Raw genomic sequence first — 22,806 nt, 5'->3', positions numbered from 1 at the left:
AGATGGAAGAGGGAAAAGAGTTCCCCCAAATGGTTCTGATGCACAACCAAGTTATGTAGTCACTGAAGTAAGTTCCCAGAGGAACCATGGATCCTATATACCTATTCTTACTCACCCACAGAGCAATGTGATTTTATCCCTATGAATTACAGAAATGAGAAAAACAAGTATCAAGTAGGTTTTCTTCATAAAAACCATTCCCAAAATCAAAGTTTTCCAATTCTACTAACCCTAATTTAGACAGATCTTATCAAATGTTAAGTTTTCTGAACACAGAAGATACGTTGAACTTCAAGAAAGAAATTCTACCTAAACATGGTAAACAGTGATCGTTAATTGTATCTGCTTTGAGAATAAAATGTAATAAATGTTTATGTTTTCCCCAGTACTATCTTTTCAATAATTTTCTGATAAGCTAATATTATTTCTGTTTGAAGAATGCACTTACAGGGAGGTAACTAGTTAGGACACTATAGTAGTCCAAGAGAGGGGTGTAATACTTGCCACCAATCTATAGCTTATCAAATTCTTAAGTATTTATTTTTCCTCACAGAACTCTTTCATGACCAACCCAATTTCACGTTCATCACTCACTCAGGTACTTCTATCTAGAATTTGACTATATTATCATGTACCTCAGTTTTCCACAAATTTCTGTACACAAATCATAAGATTATTGGCAGTAACCACAGACTCTACATATATATGTCCAATTTAATACTGTAAAGCATAGTTGTTACATTAATGCTAAATGTTATAATTCCAAACATGAAATTATGAGAGTATTATAAAGCATTCTAAATGTTCTCAAAATCCCATAAAAGCAAAATTGTGACAGATATTGATCTGATGAAATTGATCTGATGAAATAAACTGGGATATTGATCTGATGAAATAAAATGGGAAATAAATGTGTATTTATAAAAGTAAATAAGAAAAATAATTGGTATCTTTTGCACTCTATAAACTACATAAATTGTATAACTAAATATAGAAGTTTCATTCATAGGCATATTCTTTAAAGAGCAGTAATTTTCAGCCTCCTCCAACTTTTTTCAAGGGTAGGATATAACATTTACACATGAAATAATTTCATAGGACACCTAATGGAAATCTTACCTCTGGTCTCCACATACACACAAAAAAGGTAACCAGATTAAAATGAGAGAGTAGTTTTGTTAAGCCAATCTAAAAATTTGTTTCAACTAAGAAAAATCATAATGGACAATCCTCCATCTAATCTCAAGTGCCAGCCCACCCAGGATATCTCTCAATTGTTATACACTGTAGTATGGTAGTAATAAAATAATGACAACATAGTTTACACTCACTTGGAAACCACTGCTCTAGAGATGCCAAGTCTCTGTAATAACTATATATGAACATATGGCATATACTGCTACAGACTAACTTCTTCTTGTAAGCCATTATTTATTCCTTCTATTAAGCAATTATTTTTCCATGCTTTGTCATTTCCATGCTTTAATTAAATCATTTTTAATGTATTGGTGCTTTACATATTTGTAACTCCCCTCAAATTCACTTAAAAAGATAATGCAAAAGAATGAAAAGTGATAAAGCCAATGTATCTATCCTTCGTATCTTTCCCACAGTTCCTCTGGCATAGTTATTAATTGATTAACTAGAGGTACCCAAAGGAGTAGAAATTGATCAATAACAAAATAATCCTTAAAACAGAGCTAAGTAGTTCACTGGCAAATAGGAAAACTGACTTAAAGTCAGTCAGACCTCTTGATTTGCTACCCCATTCCCCACAGCCAGGCCAACACTCGCCCCTATGCAGTATTAATTAAACCAGCAGTATATATGGGACATCAGGAAACATTCTGGGGCATGGGAATAGAAGAAAGGTGAGTGTAGTCCTAAAAAAACAAAGAATTAAGTAAATGCCTACTGAAAAGAGAAGCCCCCCACCTCAACTCAAGACCACTGTTCAGCTACAATAACACTGGCAGCCAGACATACAGGGGTAGTCACAAATGGAAATTGGAAACAGTGTTTTTTTTCTGGGAAACTGGAAAAAACATACAGATAATGAAATGTGGGAGTCACACAATTTAAAAGTGGCTTTCTGCATCGTCACACTAAAGTGAAGCCTCAAGTCAAGAAACTTGCCCCATTTACACAAAGCGCATCATCACTTTAGAACTTCACTCTTTAAAAAGAACAGACATAAAAAGATGATCAGACGTTCAAAGAAACCCTTTAAGATGACAAGATAGTAAAACAAGCAAACAGAAAAAAAGAACTTTGAAGAGGTGCTGGGAGCTAAAGAAATCATCCAAAGAACCTATAAATATTCTTAAGAGTAGAAGAAAGACATTGCAGTCATGAAATAAGAGCAGAGTTCTACAAAAGGGATATTTGGAGAATGAGAAATTACTTTTACAAAATAGAATAAAGAAATCAAAAGTTAAAGCTTCAACAGAGGAGCTAGAAGATAAAATTAGGGAAATATTCCACAATTTTTTTCAGAGGATAAAAGACTGTAATATTAAAAAAACAGTCCAGGCCGGGTATGGTGGCTCACGCCTGTAATCCCAGCACTTTGGGAGGCCGAGGTGGATGGATCACCTGAGGTCAGGAGTTTGAGACCAGCCTGACCAACATGGTGAAACCCCACCTCTACTAAAAATACAAAAATTAACTGGGTGTGATGGCACATGCCTGTAATCCCAGCTACTTGGGAGGCTGAGGCAGGAGAATTGCTTGAACCCAGGAGGCAGAGGTTGCAGTGAGCCACGATCACGCCATTGCACTCCAGCCTGGGCAACAAGAGCAAAACTCCGTCTCAGAAAAAAAACAGTCCACCAGATCCAGTATCTAAACAACAGACTCTCCAGAAAAAGAAAAGAGAAAATGAGGGGAGAAAAAAATGTATCAAAGATATAACACACACATTCACACACACATCAAACTTGAAGTACATCGGTTTCCATATGAAAAGGGCTCACCAAGCAAATACCCAGCACATAGAACAAAAAGATCCACATCAAGGCTCATCATCATGAAATTTCAGAAGGCTCAAGATAACAAGAAAACCCTAAAAGTTACCAGAAGAAGAAAATGGTTGTATATTTGCCTTAGAATGGCTTCAGCCCTATAGCCATATCCAGTCATCGCACATAGCAATAGATGAATGTGTAAGCACAAGTAAGCTAATACTATTATTAAATGGGGATATTATATACTGATGGCATTTTACCAAATACTTCCTGCTAAATTTCTAAATTTCAGTTAGACTAAAATTAGCCTAAAAACTTTTAAAGTTGCTTCAAGATTTCTCCATTTTCACAGTTATTATAGTAAGATAACCAACATAAGATAATTGTACAATAACATTAATAATGCCAGTAAGTAATAGTAAGAATATCCAGAAAATACACTAGAATCCACACCCTACTATTAGATGACAAAAAAGACCTAGATATTATATACTGAGCAAGACTGAGTATTGCAAAATCATTTCAAAGTGCCCAACAAGAAATGAAAGGATTTTGTCCTTTATATTAACAATGAATATTATGGGGGTTGGAGGTTTTGAAGCAATAAGCACTTGTATGCATAATGCCTGGTAAGTGAATAGGCATACAATATTATTTATTGAATGAATGAATCAATGAAAGATGGAAAAAAATGTTCCGCTAAATTTCTTCTTGGAATCTAGCATATCAAGGGGAAGGTGGAAGCAAGGCTTTCGGAGTCAGACATAAAAGTGAATACTAACTCCACCATTACTAATTGTGTGACCAAATGCAAATTAATTTCTGAGCCCCAGTTTCCTTATACATTCAGCAGAGATAATAAGATCTCCTCATAGGACTATTCTAAAGAATAAATGAGATTATGTATGAGCCCCAGTTTCCTTATACTTTCAGCAGAGATAATAAGGTCTCCTCATAGGACTACTCTAAAGAATAAATGAGGTTCTGTATGCAAAGCATTAATACAATTCATTCCATAAATGGTAGCTTTTGTAACTACTACTAATACAATTAGTAGTATTAGGCTGCTGCTATTACTACTTGGCCAGGCACAGTGGCTCACAGCTGTAATCCCAGCACTTTGGGAGGCCAAGGATGGTGGATCGCCTAAGATCACACCTGTAATACCAACACTTTGGGAGGCCAAGGAGAGTGGATGGCCTGAGCTCAATATCCATTTTCTGGATATTCTTACTATTACTTTTATGTCTGACCCCAAAAGCCTTGCTTCCGCCTTCCCCTTGATTATGCTAGATTCCAAGAAGAAATTTAGCGGAACATTTTTTTCCATCTTTCATTGATTCATTCATTCAATAAATAATATTGTATGCCTACTCACTTACCAGGCATTATACATAGAAGTGCTTATTGCTTCAAAACCTGACCAGCCTGGGCAACATGGTAAAACCTTGTCTCTAATAGAAATACAAAAAATTAGCCAGGCATGGTGGCATGCACTTGTAATCCCAACAACTCAGGAGGCGGAAGCACAAGAATCGCTTGATCCTAGGAGACAGAGGTTGCTGTGAGCTGACATCATACCACTGCACTCCAGCCTGGGCGACAAAGCAAGACTCTGTCTCAGGAAGAAAAAAAAAAAAAAAAAACACTGCTTCATCTTACGAAGGTTAGAGTTAAACTACACATTCTAAAAAAGAAGACTGGAAATGAATACATGGCTTGATAAACAAGCTAATATAAACACAGTAAAATTCAAGGAGACTATACTTAACTGCTTAACCATGCCCAAGGCATATGTGGATAAAAGTGTAAACAGAAGTACAAAATAAGTTATTCAAACCTAAAATCAGCTTATAAAACACTTTTTTAAAGAACTGGAAATGTGAGGTGTTAAATGAAGGCTAAGATCATCTCTTTTTTCCAACATCATTTAAGAAATGCAAATCAAAACCACAATGAGATACCATCTCACGCCAGTCAGAATGGCGATCATTAAAAAGTCAGGAAACAACAGATGCTGGAGAGGATGTGGAGAAACAGGAATGCTTTTACACTTTTGGTGGGAGTGTAAATAAGTTCAACCATTGTGGAAGACAGTGTGGCGATTCCTCAAGGATCTAGAACTAGAAATACCATTTGACCCAGCAATCCCGTGACTGGGTATATACCTGAAGGATTATAGGCATTATGATGGGTATATATCCAAAGGGTTGATGGGTGCAGCAAACCACCATGGCACATGTATACCTATGTAACAAACCTGCACGTTATACACGTGTATCCCAGAACTTAAATTTAAAAAATATATATATCTTTTTTTAAACACCATAATTCACCTCTATGTTTTGGCTTAGTTTGCCTAATGGAACAGCAATTCAATATAGCCACTCAAAATAAGATCTAAATGAATGCCTCCCCCATCCATTTTAGGGAGGAAAAGCCTTAAAATTGTATTATGTTTATTAAGCATCACTCTATTACCATAATATAAGAAAAAAATATATGTCTGTTCTTTGTTCCTAGTTTCTGGTACAGAGCTTCAGAACCACTTAGAATTCCTTAGTAGACATTTCTTTATTATGCTAAGAGGTTAAGTCATCATGGGGCCCCTACATAGCTTCAGAATGGGGCTGATCACCAGAAAACCAACTAGAGGTTAGACAGATTAGATGAGAGGGTTGGAACTTTCAGCCCCTCCCTTCCCTTTCCCCCGACCCCCTACCTCTGCGGATAGGAGAGAGACTAGAGATCGAGTTCAATCATATGGCCAATGATTTAATCAATCGTGCTTCTTTTGTGAGACCTCAATAAAAGCACTGAATACAAGGTTCAGAGTTTCCTGGTTGGTGAACATAGGGCTGTACTGGCAGAGTGGTGTACCTAGCATGGGGATAAAAACTTCTGCACTCAGCACCCTTCCAGACCTCCTTGTGCTATGTACCTGTTCATCTTGTTCATTCGTGTCCCTTCTGATAGAAGAGTAATTGTAAGCGTAGCACTTTCCTGAGTTCTGTGAGTCACTGTAGCAAATTATCAAACCCAAAGGGAACCCCCAAATTTGTAGTCAATTAAGTTTATCAGAAGTACAGATGACCCCTAAGACTTAGAGCTGGTGTTTGAAGTGGGGGTAGTCTTGTTGGACTATGTCCCTTAACCTGTGGAGTCTGTGCTAACTCTGAACAGTTAAGTGTCAGAATTGAATGGAATTGTTGGATACCCAGTTGGTGTCAGAGAATTGTTTTTGGAACACAGCTATTTACTCAGGAATAATAGTTATGGATGTATTTTATCTTCTGCTTAGGAAGATGAGAAGTATGCATTCAACTAACATTTAAGAAGCTTTAAATCTATCCAATATTCAAAACTGATTGTCAAGAAGCCAAATGGTCCTCAAAATCAGTACCAAATATTTCAGAGACATGTAATATGAATTAATGAGTACTTGATAAATTTTTAAATATTTGTTTGTCCATACAATTAGACTTCCTTTCAGGTTGTACTGCATTTCTTGAAAACACAAATTCCTGTCCAGACCATAAGCTGACTATCAATATGTCTCTTCTGCTATGCATTAAGCAACTTGAGAAGGGCTTCATACAATAGTAAATACACGATGAATAATCAATGTGTCCAGTTACCTATGAATTAACCAAGCGCCTCTGATTTCCCATAAGAGGGAATTTTTTAAATGCTTTATTATAACTAACATACACTAATTTCTTTGACATGACAAGTAAAAGTGATCGATTCACTACAAGAAATTAATTTAGTCCAGCATAATTTGCACTTAGTGAACATCTCTCAGGTCTTAACCAGTACTTTATTTACAAAGAACTGAAAATCCATCTTGGAAGAAGTCAAATAAAAGTAGATACCATTAAATGTTTTCTGTAACTGTAGTTTTCCATGCATTTTCTTGCCCAATTACTCATTCCCAAAAATGACAAGACACTGTTAGTGAAATTGGGAGAAAAAGTATCAAAGTGAGTAGAAAAAAATGAGTAGAATATTTAAAAATTGATTCACCAAGGATCATCAATGTATGCTAAAATCATAGATGAAAGGTTAATAAACAGGATATTCATATAGTACCCAAGTATGAAAGGAAAAACATCACTTTACAAGGCAGAGATCTGGTAGTCACTATCACTGGGACAACCTGACATTATATGTTTCTTAATGTGATGCAGTATAAAGTAAACAGCATCGCCTATGAAGTACCCTTGCCAAAAAACCTTTAGCCTGAAAAAACCTTAAGGTTTAACTTCACGTTACCAAAAACATACAGGAGCCAGAAAGAGGAAAATGATTACAGAAAGAAGAAATCAGACAAAGCTAGACGTGGAACGCTATACAAGATAACTAGAAAAGAGTCAATGTGACCCATTTTTTAGAGCGAGTGAGGGTCATTCTATGCAATACGTAATCCTTGACTGAATTCCAGTTTCAAAGAAACAACTGTAAAACATGTTTGTTGTTGGTGCCCAACTATTTGAAAGCAATCTGTATACATCATGTCACTTTACTCATCAATATTTTTTTAAGTTTCCATCCTCCATGAAATTCTTGTAATTTACCCACTAATGCTTAATGAGTACTTAAACACATGTATATCCTAAAAGTCCATATATTATTCTATATAAAACTATAATACCCTCTGTCCTACCTAAGAAAATAATTATTATCTTGTACAGTCCCTATTCAAAATTACCCACATGTTGTAAAAATGTATAAAGGAAATGTGGTAAAATGTTATTAGTAATTGAATGTATGTGATGGGCATATTATTCACTGTACCACTCTTTCAACTTCTGTATATTTTAATTTTTTTCACAACAAAATTGGAAGAAAAAGAACAAGAAACAAAGTATGTTTTTCCCCAGGCGATTTCTCTCTTGCCATGCAACATATCAAAATCCTTTTGATTCCATCCTTTAAAAAATACTTCAAATTTACCAATTAATTCTTAATATTACTTCAAATTAGGCTATCATCTCTCTTCTTCCTGAAGAGAAATTACCTCTTTATACTTAAAAAGAAGTAAATCAAAATATTTTATGGGTTTTCATGTACCAGGCTTCATGCTATACCTTCACATAATTACCTCATTTAATTCTTAACACATATTTTTGGCATTAACTTTATTCCTCTACTTTTTAAAAATAGAAATGATAGTAAGCTCTGAGGATTTTAGCAAGTTCTTCAAGATCATGACTATCAATAGCAGAGCCAGAATTAAGATACCAATTTCACACCAAAGTGTATAGTTTCGACTGACCATAGTGGTCTAAAAATGAAACAATATGAGGCCTAAAGATAAAGTAGTAACAGGAGAAAAGGAATGACCTTTATTTTCAGGAAACACATCCTTTCTCATCATTACCCTGAAAATTGGAGTCCTCATCTAATTTCATTCATTGCTCTTAAAGTTGGAGTGTTCATCCAATTTCCCAAATTGGGGGAAAAAAACATTGAAAAATTAGTTAAGCTCCTTTATCAATCAGCCAAATGAAAGAATCTTAGAATTAAGCCACTATGAAATTAAAGTGCCAGTCTCTAGATGTGAATATAATAATATCAAATGTAGTAAAGGCATCAAGAGCAGCAAACTATATTTTTTTTAAAAAGTTATGAAAGGGAAAAAATCTGTAATATATAATTTTTTTTTGCCCTTGACAAGTGTATTAGTCTGTTCTCACACTGCTAATAAAGACATACCCAAGGCTGGGTAATTGATAAAGGAAAAGTTTAATTGACTCACAGTTCATCATGGCTGGAGAGGCCTCAGGAAACTTACAATCATGGCAGAAGGGGAAGCAAACACGTCCTTCTTCACATGGCAGCAGCAAGCAGAAGTGCTAAGCAAAAGGGGGAAAAGCCCCTTATAAAACCATCAGATCTTGTGAGAACTCACTCACTATCATGAGAACAGCACAGAGGAAACTGCCCCCATGATTAAATTACTTCCCAACGGGTCCCTCCCATGACATGTGGGGATTATAGGGACTACAATTCAAGATGGGATTTGGGTGTGGACACAGTCAAACCATATCAACAGGCTAATGTTTTAAAAAGAACACAAATATATGAAACGATTAAAGAATCAATTAAAGAAGGTAGAACCTGAAAGATGGATAATAATAGGACAGTAAGGGAGGAAGAGCTCAAGCACAGGGCAGAGAATAGCATTTGCAACGGCATGAGCATGAGAAAAAGAAAATGCCATTTTTAACTCAAAAAGGAGTAATTCTTGAGGACAGAGGGAAACAGATGTCTACACCATGTCACCACTGCCAAGGAACATTTCCCTACCTTCACCCACTACAAAACACTACTTTTCATCTCATTCCAAGTCCCCATTTTGCTTTTTCACACTCCCCTAGACTCATTCTTACATTGCTGGAGCATCTGCTTCAAGTCAAAGAAACTACACCATTTAGTAATTCATTTATTCATTCAACAATATATATTAAATGCTCAGAATGTGCCAAATACTGATCTACGTGCTATGAACAAGACTAACTACAAGCAAATCAGAGAACTGCCCTTGTGAGCTTACATTCTAGAATGACTGAAACAAAATAAACAAGTAAAATATACAGTACATAGAAGACAACGGTAAGTCCTGAGAAGAAAAAAATTAAATCAAGATTAGATGGTCCCTTGGAAAATTGTGTTGGGAGAAGGATGGAGGAGGCTGAAATGTTTAATCAAGGTACATGGGGAAGACCTGAGGTGACTTTGAGTAAAGATAGGAAGAAAGTGAGGGAATGGGCCATGCAGACCTCGAGGCAAGTACATTCCAGGTAAAGAGAACAGAAGTGCAAAGGCCCTAAGGCAGGAGGCATGGTTGATAAGTTTGAGGAACAGCAAAGGGATCAGAAAGCCTAGAGCAGAATAAATAATGGGGAGTAAAATAAGAGAGGTCAGAGTAAACAGAGAGCCAGATCATGCAAAGTCTTATTACGGATGAGGGTAATGTCACTGGCTTTTGCTCCAAGAGAAATGGAAAGCTACTAGAGGGTTCTCAGCAAAGGAGTGGCATGACTGGACTCAAATTTTAATATGACCACTGTGTGAAGAACAGAGTGAAGACAGACAAGATCAGAAGCAGGGAAATCAGTAAATCTGCTGCAATTTAATAGTGGTTTTGATCAGGGCAGTGGGAATTAGTGAGAAATGAAAGAATTCTAGATATATTTTGAAGGCAGACCTGATACGATTTCCTGAATGACTGGATATGAGAGAAAAACAGTTTAAAATAACTGCAAGGTTTCAGGGCTTTTGGACTGAGGAAATAGAAGAACAAAGTCATCAAATGAGATGGAGAAGACTGCTGACTTATTTCAAATGGGTCTCATGTGTTTCTGCATATCTTTTTTTTTTTCCTTTTGAGAAAAGGTCTCACTCTGTTGCCCAGGCTGGAGTGCAGTGGCATGATCATAGCTAACTGCAGCCTTGATCCTCCAGGCTCAAGCGATCCTCCCACCTCAGCCTCCCAAATAGCTGGAACTACAGGCACACACCACCATGCCAGCTAAGTTTTTTAATTTTTTGGTAGAGATGGGGGTGTGGGGGGCCTCACTATGTTGCCCAGGCTGGTCTCCAACTCCTAGGCTCAAGTGATCCTCCTGCCTTGGCCTCCCAAAGTGCTGTGATCACAAGCATGAGCCACCACAGCCAAATAGTCTTAGCCAGATTAACAGCACTTTGCTATATTTCTCACAGCCTTAATTCCCACAGGGTTATGGAAAAGGGCCAGGTGATACCTTCATATGCAGTGGGTTGCATTACATGAAAACAACCCTGAGTTTAGAGAATCAGAATCTTTAATGGGTAATAAGTCTTCCCCCGGGGAAGGAGACTTAGTAGGGTAAAATTTCAGACTTTTAACAGGTCTTGACAGACAACAGAGAAGGTGTAGGCAGAATATCAACAGCACAGTTTTGGACATACCAAGTTAGAGATGCCTACTGGACATCCAATAGGAGATGTGAAATTGGTGATTAGAATTCCAAGAGTAAAGTTCACAGAAGAGATAAAAACAAGAGATATGTATTTGGGCATTATCCTTATTTGTAGCTTAGTTTTTAAGATCTATCATCATTTATAGCTGAGAGAAGGGGAATTGTTATATTCCTGCATCTTAAAAAAAAATTCCCATTAAAGGCCAGGCACAGTGGCTCACGCCTGTAGTCCTAATACTTTGGGAGGCCGAGGTGGGTGGATCACGTGAGGTCAGGAGTTTGAGACCAGCCTGGCCTAACATGGTGAAACTCTGTCTCTACTAAAAATACAAAAATTAGCCAGGCGTGGTGGTGCACACCTGTGGCTACTCAGGAGGCTGAGACAAGAGAATCACTTGAACCTGGGAGATGGAGGTTGCAGTAAGCCGAGTTCATGCCACTCCACTCTAGCCTGGGTGATAAGAGCGAGACTCTGTCTTTAAAAAAACAAAAAAAAAACTTTTTAAAAAATAACTTCAGTGTGGGAAATTTCCCACTTCTTGAGACTAGATAGAACTTCAGTAACAGTTATAAGTAATCCCTAACCGAGTCAGTTAAATGAAGAGAGAGAGTTTTTGATGGAGGAGGGAAAATATGGGTTTTTGTAAGCCAATACATGATGGGTCAACAAATTAAGCTGTGTATTTTATAAATTGGCCGAGAGAAATGTCTTAAATGACTTCCAAAATGTTTTGTAAGAAATATCTTTATAAATGGATAAAAATAGACCTGCTTGCTAACAATTACTTGGTAAAACAGCACTCATTTGTTTGTACATTTAGCTAAAAGATTAAGCTTATTACCTTATACACACATATACATCAATTTTGTTGTTACTTTTATAAAATTCAGAAAGAAGAAGAAAAGGGAGAAGCTCCTATTATGTTTAAAATTAACTAGCCTTGCATTTGTAATCGCATGGTCTTACCTGCATATGCATACATGTGAAATTCTAATAAGATAGACTTGTTTTCATTTACAAATATCTAGCAGTACATATAACCATAACTTTAATATAAATTAATAGCATTAATGAATATAAAATTATTATGTACTACACAATTAGTAGAAAGCATATTTTAGAGACACACCTGCCGCAAAATACTCAGTCAAGGGTTTACTGTCCTACCCTCTCTAGGCTTCAGCCTCCTCATTTGTAATTCATGTTAACAACTACAGATAAACTCCAAGGATTCTTCAGCTTTTAGGAATGAGAGACAGAAAGTAATCTAAAGTATCCCTACAATCTAACAGGCAATAAAGATAAACAAATGAAATACCACAAGTGCAGTAAAAGAGTTACGTTTAAGGCACACAAAAACAAAAAGTGAGGTACATGCAGGGAAATTAGAAAAGGTATCACTGAAAAAGTAGTATTAATATGTGAGCTGAATCACAGAAGAGTATATAGTACTTTCCAAAGAGGTAAAGCTTGAAAGGAAAAACACGTATAAAAATATCAGAAGTGAAGCACTTACACAATGGAAAAGTAACAACCTCCAAAAATTTGCTCCTTTATTAAAAAAAGCAATGAGGATACTGGCAAAAATTGTCAAAATCAACTTTTTCACAACCCTAGAAATTAGCTAAAGCCTTGTAACAATGTTTTTATTCAAGAATATTGGATGAATCTCAGTAAAAACAGCAAGCTTTGCAGCATTTTAACTTGCTTTATTCCCATCCTTCTCTCTCCAGCTCCATGATAGCCTTCAAGCCATACAGCTCACAACCACAGTAGCTGTGAAAACTACCAACCTAGCAACCACTGGAGGAAACAAAACAGGTTTAGAGCTCACCAAAAAGCCCAAGACTTGTCACTGTTAGACCTGTCAGTCAGCTACCTGGAAAAGCTCCATTCTCCAGGTTTGTCTTTATGTGACCTGACTCGGCACTCTGTGCAAAAAGCCCTATCACCAGGGCATCTGTTTAAAACAATCAGCAGCAATTGTATAATATTGTAGCTGTCATAGGCAGTGATAATAGCTACAGATAAAAAGAGGTCGACCAAAAAACTTAAGTCGAAGTAGGAATGAGATATCTACAGGGGCTTCGAAAAACTCTTTGAAAAGCTCTAGCTCCTAGTAATCTAGAGGCCACACACATGTATGGTAGAGTGTGCACGCCCAGGAAAGAACTGAGAAGGACCTAGCCTCTTACCTCTGGATGTCTTTAAGGCTCTGCAAAAGAAAGAAGGCTCACGAGGAGCTATAAACTGCATTGGAGTATTGAATTCATGCCCCAACACACACCCTCAGCAAAAGCTAGAAGACTTATTAGTCCCAGGTGTTTAAGGAAACCTCTGTCCAATCATTAGTTGACCACTAATCTGAGCAGACTTCAGTGGCAACCCACAGAGTGGGGGATCAGACTTCACAGAATTAGTACAGGAAAGTCAGTAAACAAACAGCAACAACAACAAAAAATCCTGAGAGTAGAGGAATCCAGTTTCCAGAGTTGCCACATTACAATTATTTCAAACGTACAATTTTCAACAAAAAATTATAAGACATGCAAAGAAACAGAAAAGTATAGTCCATATAGAGAGAAAGCAAGTCAACAGAAACTGTCTCTGAGAAAACCCATGTTAGACTTATTAGACAAAGACTTTAAATCAGCTACAACAAATATGTTCAAAGAACTAATAAAAACCATGTCTAAAGAACTAAAGTAAGGTATGAAAATGATGGCTCACCAAGTAGAGAATGTTAATAAAGAGTCAGAAATTATTTAAAAAAAAAAAAAAACACTTTAAACCAGGCACAGTGGCTCACATTTATAATTCCAACACCCTGGGAGACCAAGGCAGAAAAGTCACATGAGCTCAGGAGTTCAAGTCCAGACTGGGCAACACAGTGAAACCTCGTCTGTACAAGACAATAAAAATAATTAGCCAGGTGTGGTGGTGCATGTCTGTGGTCCCAGCTACTCAGGAGGCAGAGATGGGAGGACTGCTTAAGTTCAGGAGGTCAAGGCTGCAGTGAGCCAAGGTCATATCACTGCACTCCAGCCTGGGTGACAGAGCCAGACCCTGTCTCAAGAAAAAATAAAACAAAAAACAAACACACGAAAAAAAAAACACTTTAGATTAAAAGGCACAAGTAGATTAAAACTAAAAGGATGGTAACACCATGTATATAATAACCAAAGAAAGGGCTAGAGTAGCTATACTAATATCAGACAAATTAGACTTTCAGACAAAAATTGTGACTAAAGACAAGGAAATGCATTAGAAATAAAAGAAATGACAAAAGAGCCAATCCATCAGAAAGATATATTACAAACATATATACACTAACAACAAAGCCCCAAAATGCATGAGGCAAAAACTGACAGAATTGAGGAGAGAAACAGATAATTATACAATAGTAGTTGGAGAATTCAATACTCCTCTTTCAATAATGAATGGAACAAGGAGACAGAAGATGAACAAGAAAATAAGACTTGAAGAACACTATAAACCAACTAGACCTAACAGACATTTATAGAACATTCCCCTCAACAACAGCAAAATGCACATTTATCAAGTCCACACAGAACGTTCTCCAGGATACAGCATGTTAGAACATAAAACTGGCCTCCATAAATTTAAAAAGACTGAAATCACATACAGTATATTCCAACCACAATAAAAGTAAATTAGAAATCAATAAAAAAAAGAAATTTGAGAAATTCAAGAGCATATGGATATTAAAGAAAACACTCAAATAACCAATGCATCAAAGAAGCAATCACAAGGGAAATGAGAAAATACTTTCAGGTGAATCAAAATTTAAAAAACAGCACGCCAAAACTTAACAAAATGCAGTTAAAGTAGTTCCTAGAGGGAATTTTATAGCTATAAAACACCTGTATTAAAAAAGGAAGCGGCCGGGCATGGTGGCTCACGCCTGTAATCCCAGCACTTTGGGAGGCTGAGGCGGACGGATCACAAGGTCAGGAGATTGAGACCATCCTGGCTAATATGGTGAAAACCCCGTCTCTAGTAAAAATAAAAAAAATTAGCCGGGTGCGGTGGCAGGTGCCTGTAGTCCCAGCTACTCAGGAGGGTGAGGCGGGAGAATGGTGTGAACCCAGGAGGTGAAGCTTGCAGTGAGCCGAGATCACATCACTGCACTCCAGTCTAGGCAACACAGCGAGACTCAGTCTCAAAAAAAAAAAAAAAAAAGGAAGCAAGATCTCAAATCAATAATGTAACTTCTGATGTTAAAAACTAGAAAAAGTGGTGGCAGGCACCTGTAGTCCCAGCTACGCGGGAGGCTGAGACAGGAGAATGGCTTGAACCCAGGAGGCAGAGGTTGCAGTGAGCCAAGATCACACCACTGCACTCCAGCCTGGGCAACAGAGCGAGACTCCATCTCGAAAAAAAAATAAATAAAACCTAGGAAAAGCCAAGACATACTATTCCCAAAGAAGAAGAAAGGAAATAACAAAAATTAGGGTGGAAATAAGTGAAACAAATAAGTGAAATAAAAAAAGTATAGAGAAATCAAAACTGAAACTGGCAAACCATTAGCTAAACTGGCCAAGAAAAAACTAGAAAAACAAATTAATATAATCAGGAATAAAAAGGGGATATTACTGTTGACATTAAAGAAATCAAAAGGATTATAAGGCAATTACAGGGTAAATAATTTTATGCCAACAAATTAGATATAAAAGGGGATATTACTATTGACATTAAAGAAATCAAAAGGATTGTAAGGCAATTATAGGGTTAATAATTTTATGCCAACAAATTAGATATCTTGGGTGAAACCGATAAATTCCTAGAAAGATACAAATTATCAATTTGATAAAAGAAATAGAACATTTAAACAGACCTATAACAAGTAAAGAGATTGAGTTAGTAATAAAAAAAAAGAAAAAAGAAAAAAAGAAAAGCCCAAGACTAGATGGCTTTACTAATAAATTCCATCAAATGTTTAAAGATGAATTAACACCAATCCTCAAAAAATTCTCCAAAAAAATAGAAGAGAAGGAAACGTTTTGTCACTTACTCTATGAAAGCCAGAAAAATAAATCACAAGAAAAAAAAATACAGACCAATATCCCTTGAGTATAGATGTTAAAATCCAACAAAATACTAGCAAACCAAATCCAGCATACATTAAAAAAAGATTACATTCCATGACCAAGTGAGATTTACCCCAGGAATGCAAGGTTGGTTCAGCATCCAAAAATCAACCAATGTAATAAAACGTATTAAAAGAATAAAGGAAGAAAATCACATGATCATCTCAATAAATGCAGGGAAAAAATTTGAAAATAATCCACCACCCAGCCAGGCACGGTGGCTCCCACCTATAATCCCAGCACTTTGGGAGGCCAAGGCAGGAGGATCACCTGAGGTCAGGAGTTCAAGACCAGCCTGGCCAACATGGCTAAACCCCATCTCTACTAAAAAAATACGAAAATTAGCTGGGGGTGGTAGCAGGCGCCTGTAATCCCAGCTACTCGGGAAGCTGATGCAGGAAGAATTGCTTGAACCTGGGAGGTGGAGGTTGCAGTGAGCCGAGGACATGCCACTGCACTCCAGCCTGAGTAAAAGAGTGAGATACTGTCTCAAAAATATTTAAAAAAAAAAAAAAAAGAAAAGATAAGATCCACCACCACTTCATGATAACAACAGTCAACAAACTAGGAATAGAAGGCAACCTTCTCAATATGATAAAGGAAATCTACAAAAATCCCACAGCTAACATTATACTTAATGGTGAAAGACTGAAAGCTTTCTCCCTGTGATCAGGAACAAGGATGTCTTTTCTCACCACCACTTTTTTTTAAATTTTGGTTGATACACAGCAGGTATATATATTTATGTCTCACCACTTCTATTCAATATTGTGGAGAAGATTCTAGCCCAAGCAATTTAGGTAGGAAAAACTTTAAAAGGTCATCCAGATTGAAAAGAAGTAAATCTGTCTCTATTTGTAGATGTCATCTTATACATACAGACCGGGCATGATACCTCATACCTGTAATCCCAGTGCTCTGGTAGGCCAAGGCAGGAGGACTGCTTGAAGCCAGGAGTTCAAGGCCAGCCTGCACAACATAGCAAGACTCTACCTCTACAAAAAAAAATTTTAAATTCACTGGGCATAGTAACATGTGCCTGTAGTCCCAGCTATTTAGAAGGCTGAGGCTGGAGGAATGCATGAGTCCAGGAGTTCTAGGTTGTGCCACTGCACTTCAGCCTGGGCAACACAGTAAGATCCTGCCTCCAAAAAAAAAATTATCCTAAAAATTTAAATATATACATAGGAAAACCTATAAGAATACACACACACACACCCCCTATCAGAGCTAATAAACAAGTTCAGCAGGTTGCAGGATATAAGATAATTAGTTAAAAAGCAATTTGTAGGAGCTCATGTTCTCAGGATCTCTAGAGGATGTGTCACAGGCCATAAAAAAATGAAAAAAAAAATTTAAAGCAATTGTATTTCTTTTTCTTTTTTGTGAGATGGAGTCTCACTCTGTCGCCCAGGCTAGAGTGCGGTGGTGCAATCTTGGCTCACCGCAACCTCCGCCTCCCGGATTCAAGTGATTCTCCTGTCTCAGCCTCCCAATTAGCTGGAACTACAAACGCCCGCCACCGTGCCCGGCTAATTTTTTGTATTTTTAGTAGAGACGAGGTTTCACTATGTTGGCTAGGCTGGTCTCAAACTCCTGACCCTTGTGATCCACCCGCCTCAGCCTCCCAAAGTGCTGGGGTTACAGGTGTGAGCCACCACACCCAGCCTAAAGGAACTGTATTTCTATACACTAGCAATGAACAATCTGAAATAAATTAAGAAAACACTTCTATTGACAAAGGTATCAGAAATAATAAAATATTTAGTAATAAACTTAATAAAAATTTGTATGCTGAAAACTATAAAACATCATTGAAAGAAATTAAGGACCTATTAAATAAACAGACATTCCTCACTCATAGACTGAAAGACTGGATTGAAATACTTCAAAAATTATTTATCAAATCCCTGTCTTTCAGAACTGAACAAACTCATCCAAACATACATATGAAAATTCAAAGGACCCAAAACAGCCAAAACAACCTGAAAAAAAGCAAAGTTAGAGGACTCACACTTCCCAGTTTCAAAATGTACTGCAAAGCTACAGCAATCAAGACAGTGTGGTACTGGTAGAAGGTAACACTTATGTAGATCATGGAAAAGAACTCAGAGCCTAGAAATTCACCCATACTTTTATGATCAATTGATTTTCAACAAGGGTGCCAAAAGAATTCAATGAGGAAAGACTAACCTTTTCAATAAATGGTGCTGGAACAACTGGCTATTAACATGCAAATGAATGAAGTTTGACCTATAACTCACATCATATACAAAAACTAACTCCAGATGGAACAAAGACCTAAATAAGAGCTAAAATTATAAAACTCTTGGAGGAAAACATAGGTGTAAATCTTCAAACCTTGGATTAGGCAATGATTTTTTGACATTAACATATCAAAAGCATATGCAACCAAAAAATAATAAATTAAAATTCATCAAAATTTAAAATTTTTGAAGACACTATCAAGAAAGCAAAAAGATAATCCAAATAATGGGAGAAGATATTTGCAAATTCTATATCTAATAAAAATCTAGTATCCAGAATCTATGAAGAACGCTTATCCCTGAACAATAAAAAGACAACCCAATTTTACAAAAAGCAGAATAGAAATTTGTCCAAAAAAAAAAAAAGATACACACATGGCCAATAAGCACATGAAAAGATGCTCAACATCAGTCATTAGGAACCTGACTGATGAATCAAAACCATAATGAGATACCACTTCATACTAAGATGGCTATGATCAAAATGACAGAAGACATGTTGGCAAGGATATGAAGAAATTGGAAAACCTCATAAATTGCTGGTGGGAAATTAAAATTGTGCAACCATTATGGAAAAATATAGTAGGTCCTCAAAAAGTTAAACATAAAGCTACCATATGACTCAGAAAATCTACTCCTAGGTATCAAGTGTAGAACAATCTAAAATATATATCCACGCAAAAAATTTTACGTAAATGTTCATAATAGCCAAAAAGCAAAAACAAGCTAAATGTCCACTAACTGATTAATAAACAAAATGTATTATTCATATAAAGGAATATTCAGCCATAAAAAAGAATGAATGCATGTTAAAACATGAATGAAACTTAAAACATGCTAAATGAAAGAAGCCAGGCACAGGAGGCCACATTATCATATGATTCCATTTACATGCAATGCCCAGAATAGACAAATCCATAGAGACAGAAAATAGACTAGTGATTACAAGAGTTTGGGGTGGGGAGGGAGGAATGGAAAGTAAGTTCTAATGACTACCGGGTTTCTTTGGGGGTTGATGAAAATGTTCTAGAATTAGTGGTGGTGTTTCACAACAAAGTAAATACACTAAAATCACTAAGTTTTATACTTTAAAAGGGTAAAGTTTATGATATGTTAATTATGTCTCAATAATTTAAAAAATCAGAGTATAAGAGATTCAGTTCCAGACTGAAACTAGTTCTATATAACTGAAGCACAGATCTCAGAATATGAAGTTATGGGAGATGAGGCATGATAAAAAGGTACACATGATCCTAATCATGAAGGATCATCATATATTATGCTCTTAGGTTCATAACTCACCCTACAGGAGATTAGAAAACAACAGAAAAATGTTAATCAAAGGTTGATATTCATCAGATTTGCTCAGGAAAGTAATTCTCTAGTAATGGCATTCCTATTAAAAAGTAAACAGCCAGGCATGGTGGCTCACACCTGTAATCCCAGCAATTTGGGAGGCTGAGGTGGGTGGATCACTGGAAGCCAGGAGTTCAAGACCAGCCTGGACAACATGGCGAAACCCCATCTCTACTAAAAATACAAAAATGTGCAGGGAGTGGTGGTACACATCTGTAATCCCAGCTACTCAGGTGGCTGAGGCATGGGAATCAGAGGTTGCAGTAAGCTGAGGTTGCACCACTGCACTACATCCTGGGTGACAGAGCAAGACTCTGATCCCCCCCAAAAAAAGTAACCAAGAGACACTGAAACAAAAATAAAGCTACTATTTTTAATAGCAATTTTTAAAAATCAAGGATTAAATCAAATAGAAGACACGTGAGAGCTTTATGAGGGAATTATAAAACTTTAATAAAAGACATTAAAGAAGTTACCAAAAAAGGAGGGGGGTATATATATTTTTATATAAAATATAAAGGAATGTTAAAGGAATAAGATGAAGTGGGGTTAGTCACTTTAACAATTATCAAGATTATAAACTCTGGCCCAGTGTGGTGGCTCACGCCTGCAATCCCAGCACTTTGGGAGGCCGAGGAGGGTGGATCACTTGAGGTCAGGAGGTCGAGACCAGCCTAACCAACATGGTGAAACCCCATCTCTACTAAAAATACAAAAATTAGCTGGGCGTGGTGGCAGGCGCCTGTAATCCCAGCAACTTGGAAAGCTGAGGCAGGAGAACTGCATAAACCTGGGAGGCGGAGGTTGCAGTGAGCCAGGAATGTGCCATTGCACTTCAGCCTGGGCAACAGAGCAAGACTCTGCCTCAAAAAAACAAAAAAGAGAACAAAAAAAAAAAGATTATAAATGCTGATTCGATTATATAATAATGGTGCAGAGATAAACAAAGGACTATAGAATATAATAGAGCAAGCTCAAAAACAGAGTTGTGTATACATAAAAACTACAAAAAGTTGATAAATGACATCAGAGATCATTGGGGAAGGAACCAGTAAACATTTGGCTATAACAACTGGGGTAGTCAGAGGGATTTGATCTTTACCTCATAACACATCAAATACAAATTTCAGATGACTTAAAGATATAACTATTAAAAGATAAACATTCCAGGTCTTAATACATATATTTAGGAGACTGTATGTATAACTTCAAGGTAGAAAATAATTTCTTATTTAGGTATAAAAACATCAAAAAGATGAAAACTTGTAAGTTTGACTATGTTAAAATTTAAATTGCAATTTCTGCTCCTAGAAACGTGGCAGATTACAGGTTCAGAAAAAGCTTTCCTGGAAAAGCAGTGTTTAAAATTCTGGACAAAATAATCATGGAAGCAGATCAAGACAATTCTTTCGAGACAAAAACAAGAAGAAAGCATCAATCCATAAACTGGATGACAGCCAAAGGCCAACATAAGAGTAAGAAGGTCACACTGGGATCACCACATAAAGTCTAGACCCACAAAGCACTTTAGCCTCAATGTGAAATTGCCCACAACTACCAACTTCTCAACAGCAAAACGAAGAAGGCAGTGAAATGACACCTTCAAATGCTAAAAGAAAATAACTATCTGCAGAGAAGTCTATATCGAGCAAAACTCTTTCTAGAATGAAGTTAAAATAAAGACTTCTCAAGCTAACAAAAAATGGCCTTCACTAAAGGAGAGAGTGTCAGACTGAAAGTAATTGAGCCTAGATGGAAGATCATACAAGACCTTCTTTCTCAACATACAAGAAAGAGTCACAAAGATCATAGCTGTTAAACACTGGCTTGTAAAATAAGCCTAATTTCTAAACTGTAGATTTTTTAAAAAGTGACGATAGATGTAAAATCACAAACAATGTCATATCATAAGAACAATGGCATATCCTCTCAAGAGGAGAGAAGACAGTGACAGGAGTTAGAGCATTCTAAGGTTCTTACACAGGTGAGGCACAGAGTTATAACTTTAGTCTTACTGGGATAAACCACCACTAAAACAACAGAAAAAGTATATATGTCTTCCAGATAGCAGAGGGCAAGAAATAAAATGGAGAAAAGAGAACCTTAAGCATTCCAAAACAAAGCAAGAAAAAGAATTAAACCTATAATGAGAAAGCACCGTTTGAAGAGATTGACAAGGAGTCAAGATCAGAATTGGGAGACAAATTAGAAAGCTATTTCAGTATAAAGAAAAAAGGTCTCAAAACAATACATAGCGACTGTTAAGAGGGGAGTAGGGGTAGGGAAGGTTAAACAACTTTTGCCTTACACTGTTTATCTTACAATGGAAAGTTATTTCTCTGTTACTTATGACACACACACACACACACACACACACACACACACACACAGCTACTTCAACCATCCAGGCAATAAAGATAATTCACAGAAAAGACATGGCAAGTGAATTCATTTCTCACTTGAGTATCTAGGATTGGGCCACCTATTCAAACAAGAGAAGCTGACTTGGTGAGAAATTCAGGTTTGTAAAAATCTAAAAATAGATTTTAATAGTTAGATATCATGTCTACAATAGAAGCAAGGAAGCCTGGTTTACAGAAATAGAGCTATGGGTAATTTGTGCATAGATCCATTACACAGAGAGACTGCAGGGGAATAACCAACAGGTAAAACACCAACAACAAGTAAAGGAAGAAAAGTTCATTGAGCATTATGGAATAAGCTACCTCCATCTTAAAAATATTTTAGACAACTGCTATTAGGGTGAACAGAAAATCTTTGTTAAAACTTTTGAAATACACTGAAAGGAAAGGTCTATTAAATGTTTAAATGTATTCATCCTCTAAAAATTTCTCTACATGAAATACAATTTCGGTATTTACATTTGATACTTAATAAATGTAATATTACATTTATTGTATTTAAACACTTGTATACAAACAAAGCAATTCAATCTAAAACCATTAACATGAGTTGAGTTTGCCATTTTTTAGATGTTTATAATACACATTCTAATTTTATTAAAAAGAGCTCTATCTCCAAGCTTTAAAGACAGCTGTAGTTTAAACTATTCCAATTTAAAGTATTAACATGAAATTATTACAGAATACAAAATAAAAAATGTATTTTTTGGAACAT

General features: G+C 36.5%; 1 protein-coding gene and 1 long non-coding RNA gene across 8 annotated transcripts in view; one reads left to right on the top strand and one right to left on the bottom strand.

The window, feature by feature from the left end:
* The window catches only part of BMP2K (BMP2 inducible kinase), a 140,016-nt gene that overhangs the window by 92,963 nt on the left and 24,247 nt on the right, over positions 1 to 22,806 (bottom strand). Inside the window, exon 1 of one of the 7 annotated variants that reach the window (XM_047415931.1) lies at positions 8,728 to 12,754. The exons of the other annotated variants lie outside the window; for them this stretch is intronic. Within the exon in view, the coding sequence (XP_047271887.1) occupies positions 8,728 to 8,737 (10 nt within the window). The 5' untranslated portion in view covers positions 8,738 to 12,754. Of the gene's footprint in view, positions 1 to 8,727; positions 12,755 to 22,806 lie in introns of those variants that run through there. 7 annotated transcript variants of the gene reach the window in all.
* LOC105377299 (uncharacterized) overlaps positions 1 to 22,806 on the top strand; it is a 38,333-nt gene that overhangs the window by 4,664 nt on the left and 10,863 nt on the right. Inside the window, exon 2 of the long non-coding RNA XR_938918.4 lies at positions 12,668 to 12,835. This is a non-coding gene — a long non-coding RNA (uncharacterized LOC105377299). The remainder of the gene's footprint in view (positions 1 to 12,667; positions 12,836 to 22,806) is intronic.

This window comes from Homo sapiens, chromosome 4 (genome assembly GCF_000001405.40).
Source record: "Homo sapiens chromosome 4, GRCh38.p14 Primary Assembly".
Taxonomy (NCBI): Eukaryota; Metazoa; Chordata; class Mammalia; order Primates; family Hominidae; genus Homo; species Homo sapiens.
Note: the sequence above shows the minus strand (reverse complement) of the source record. Positions and strands in the feature narration are given on the sequence as shown.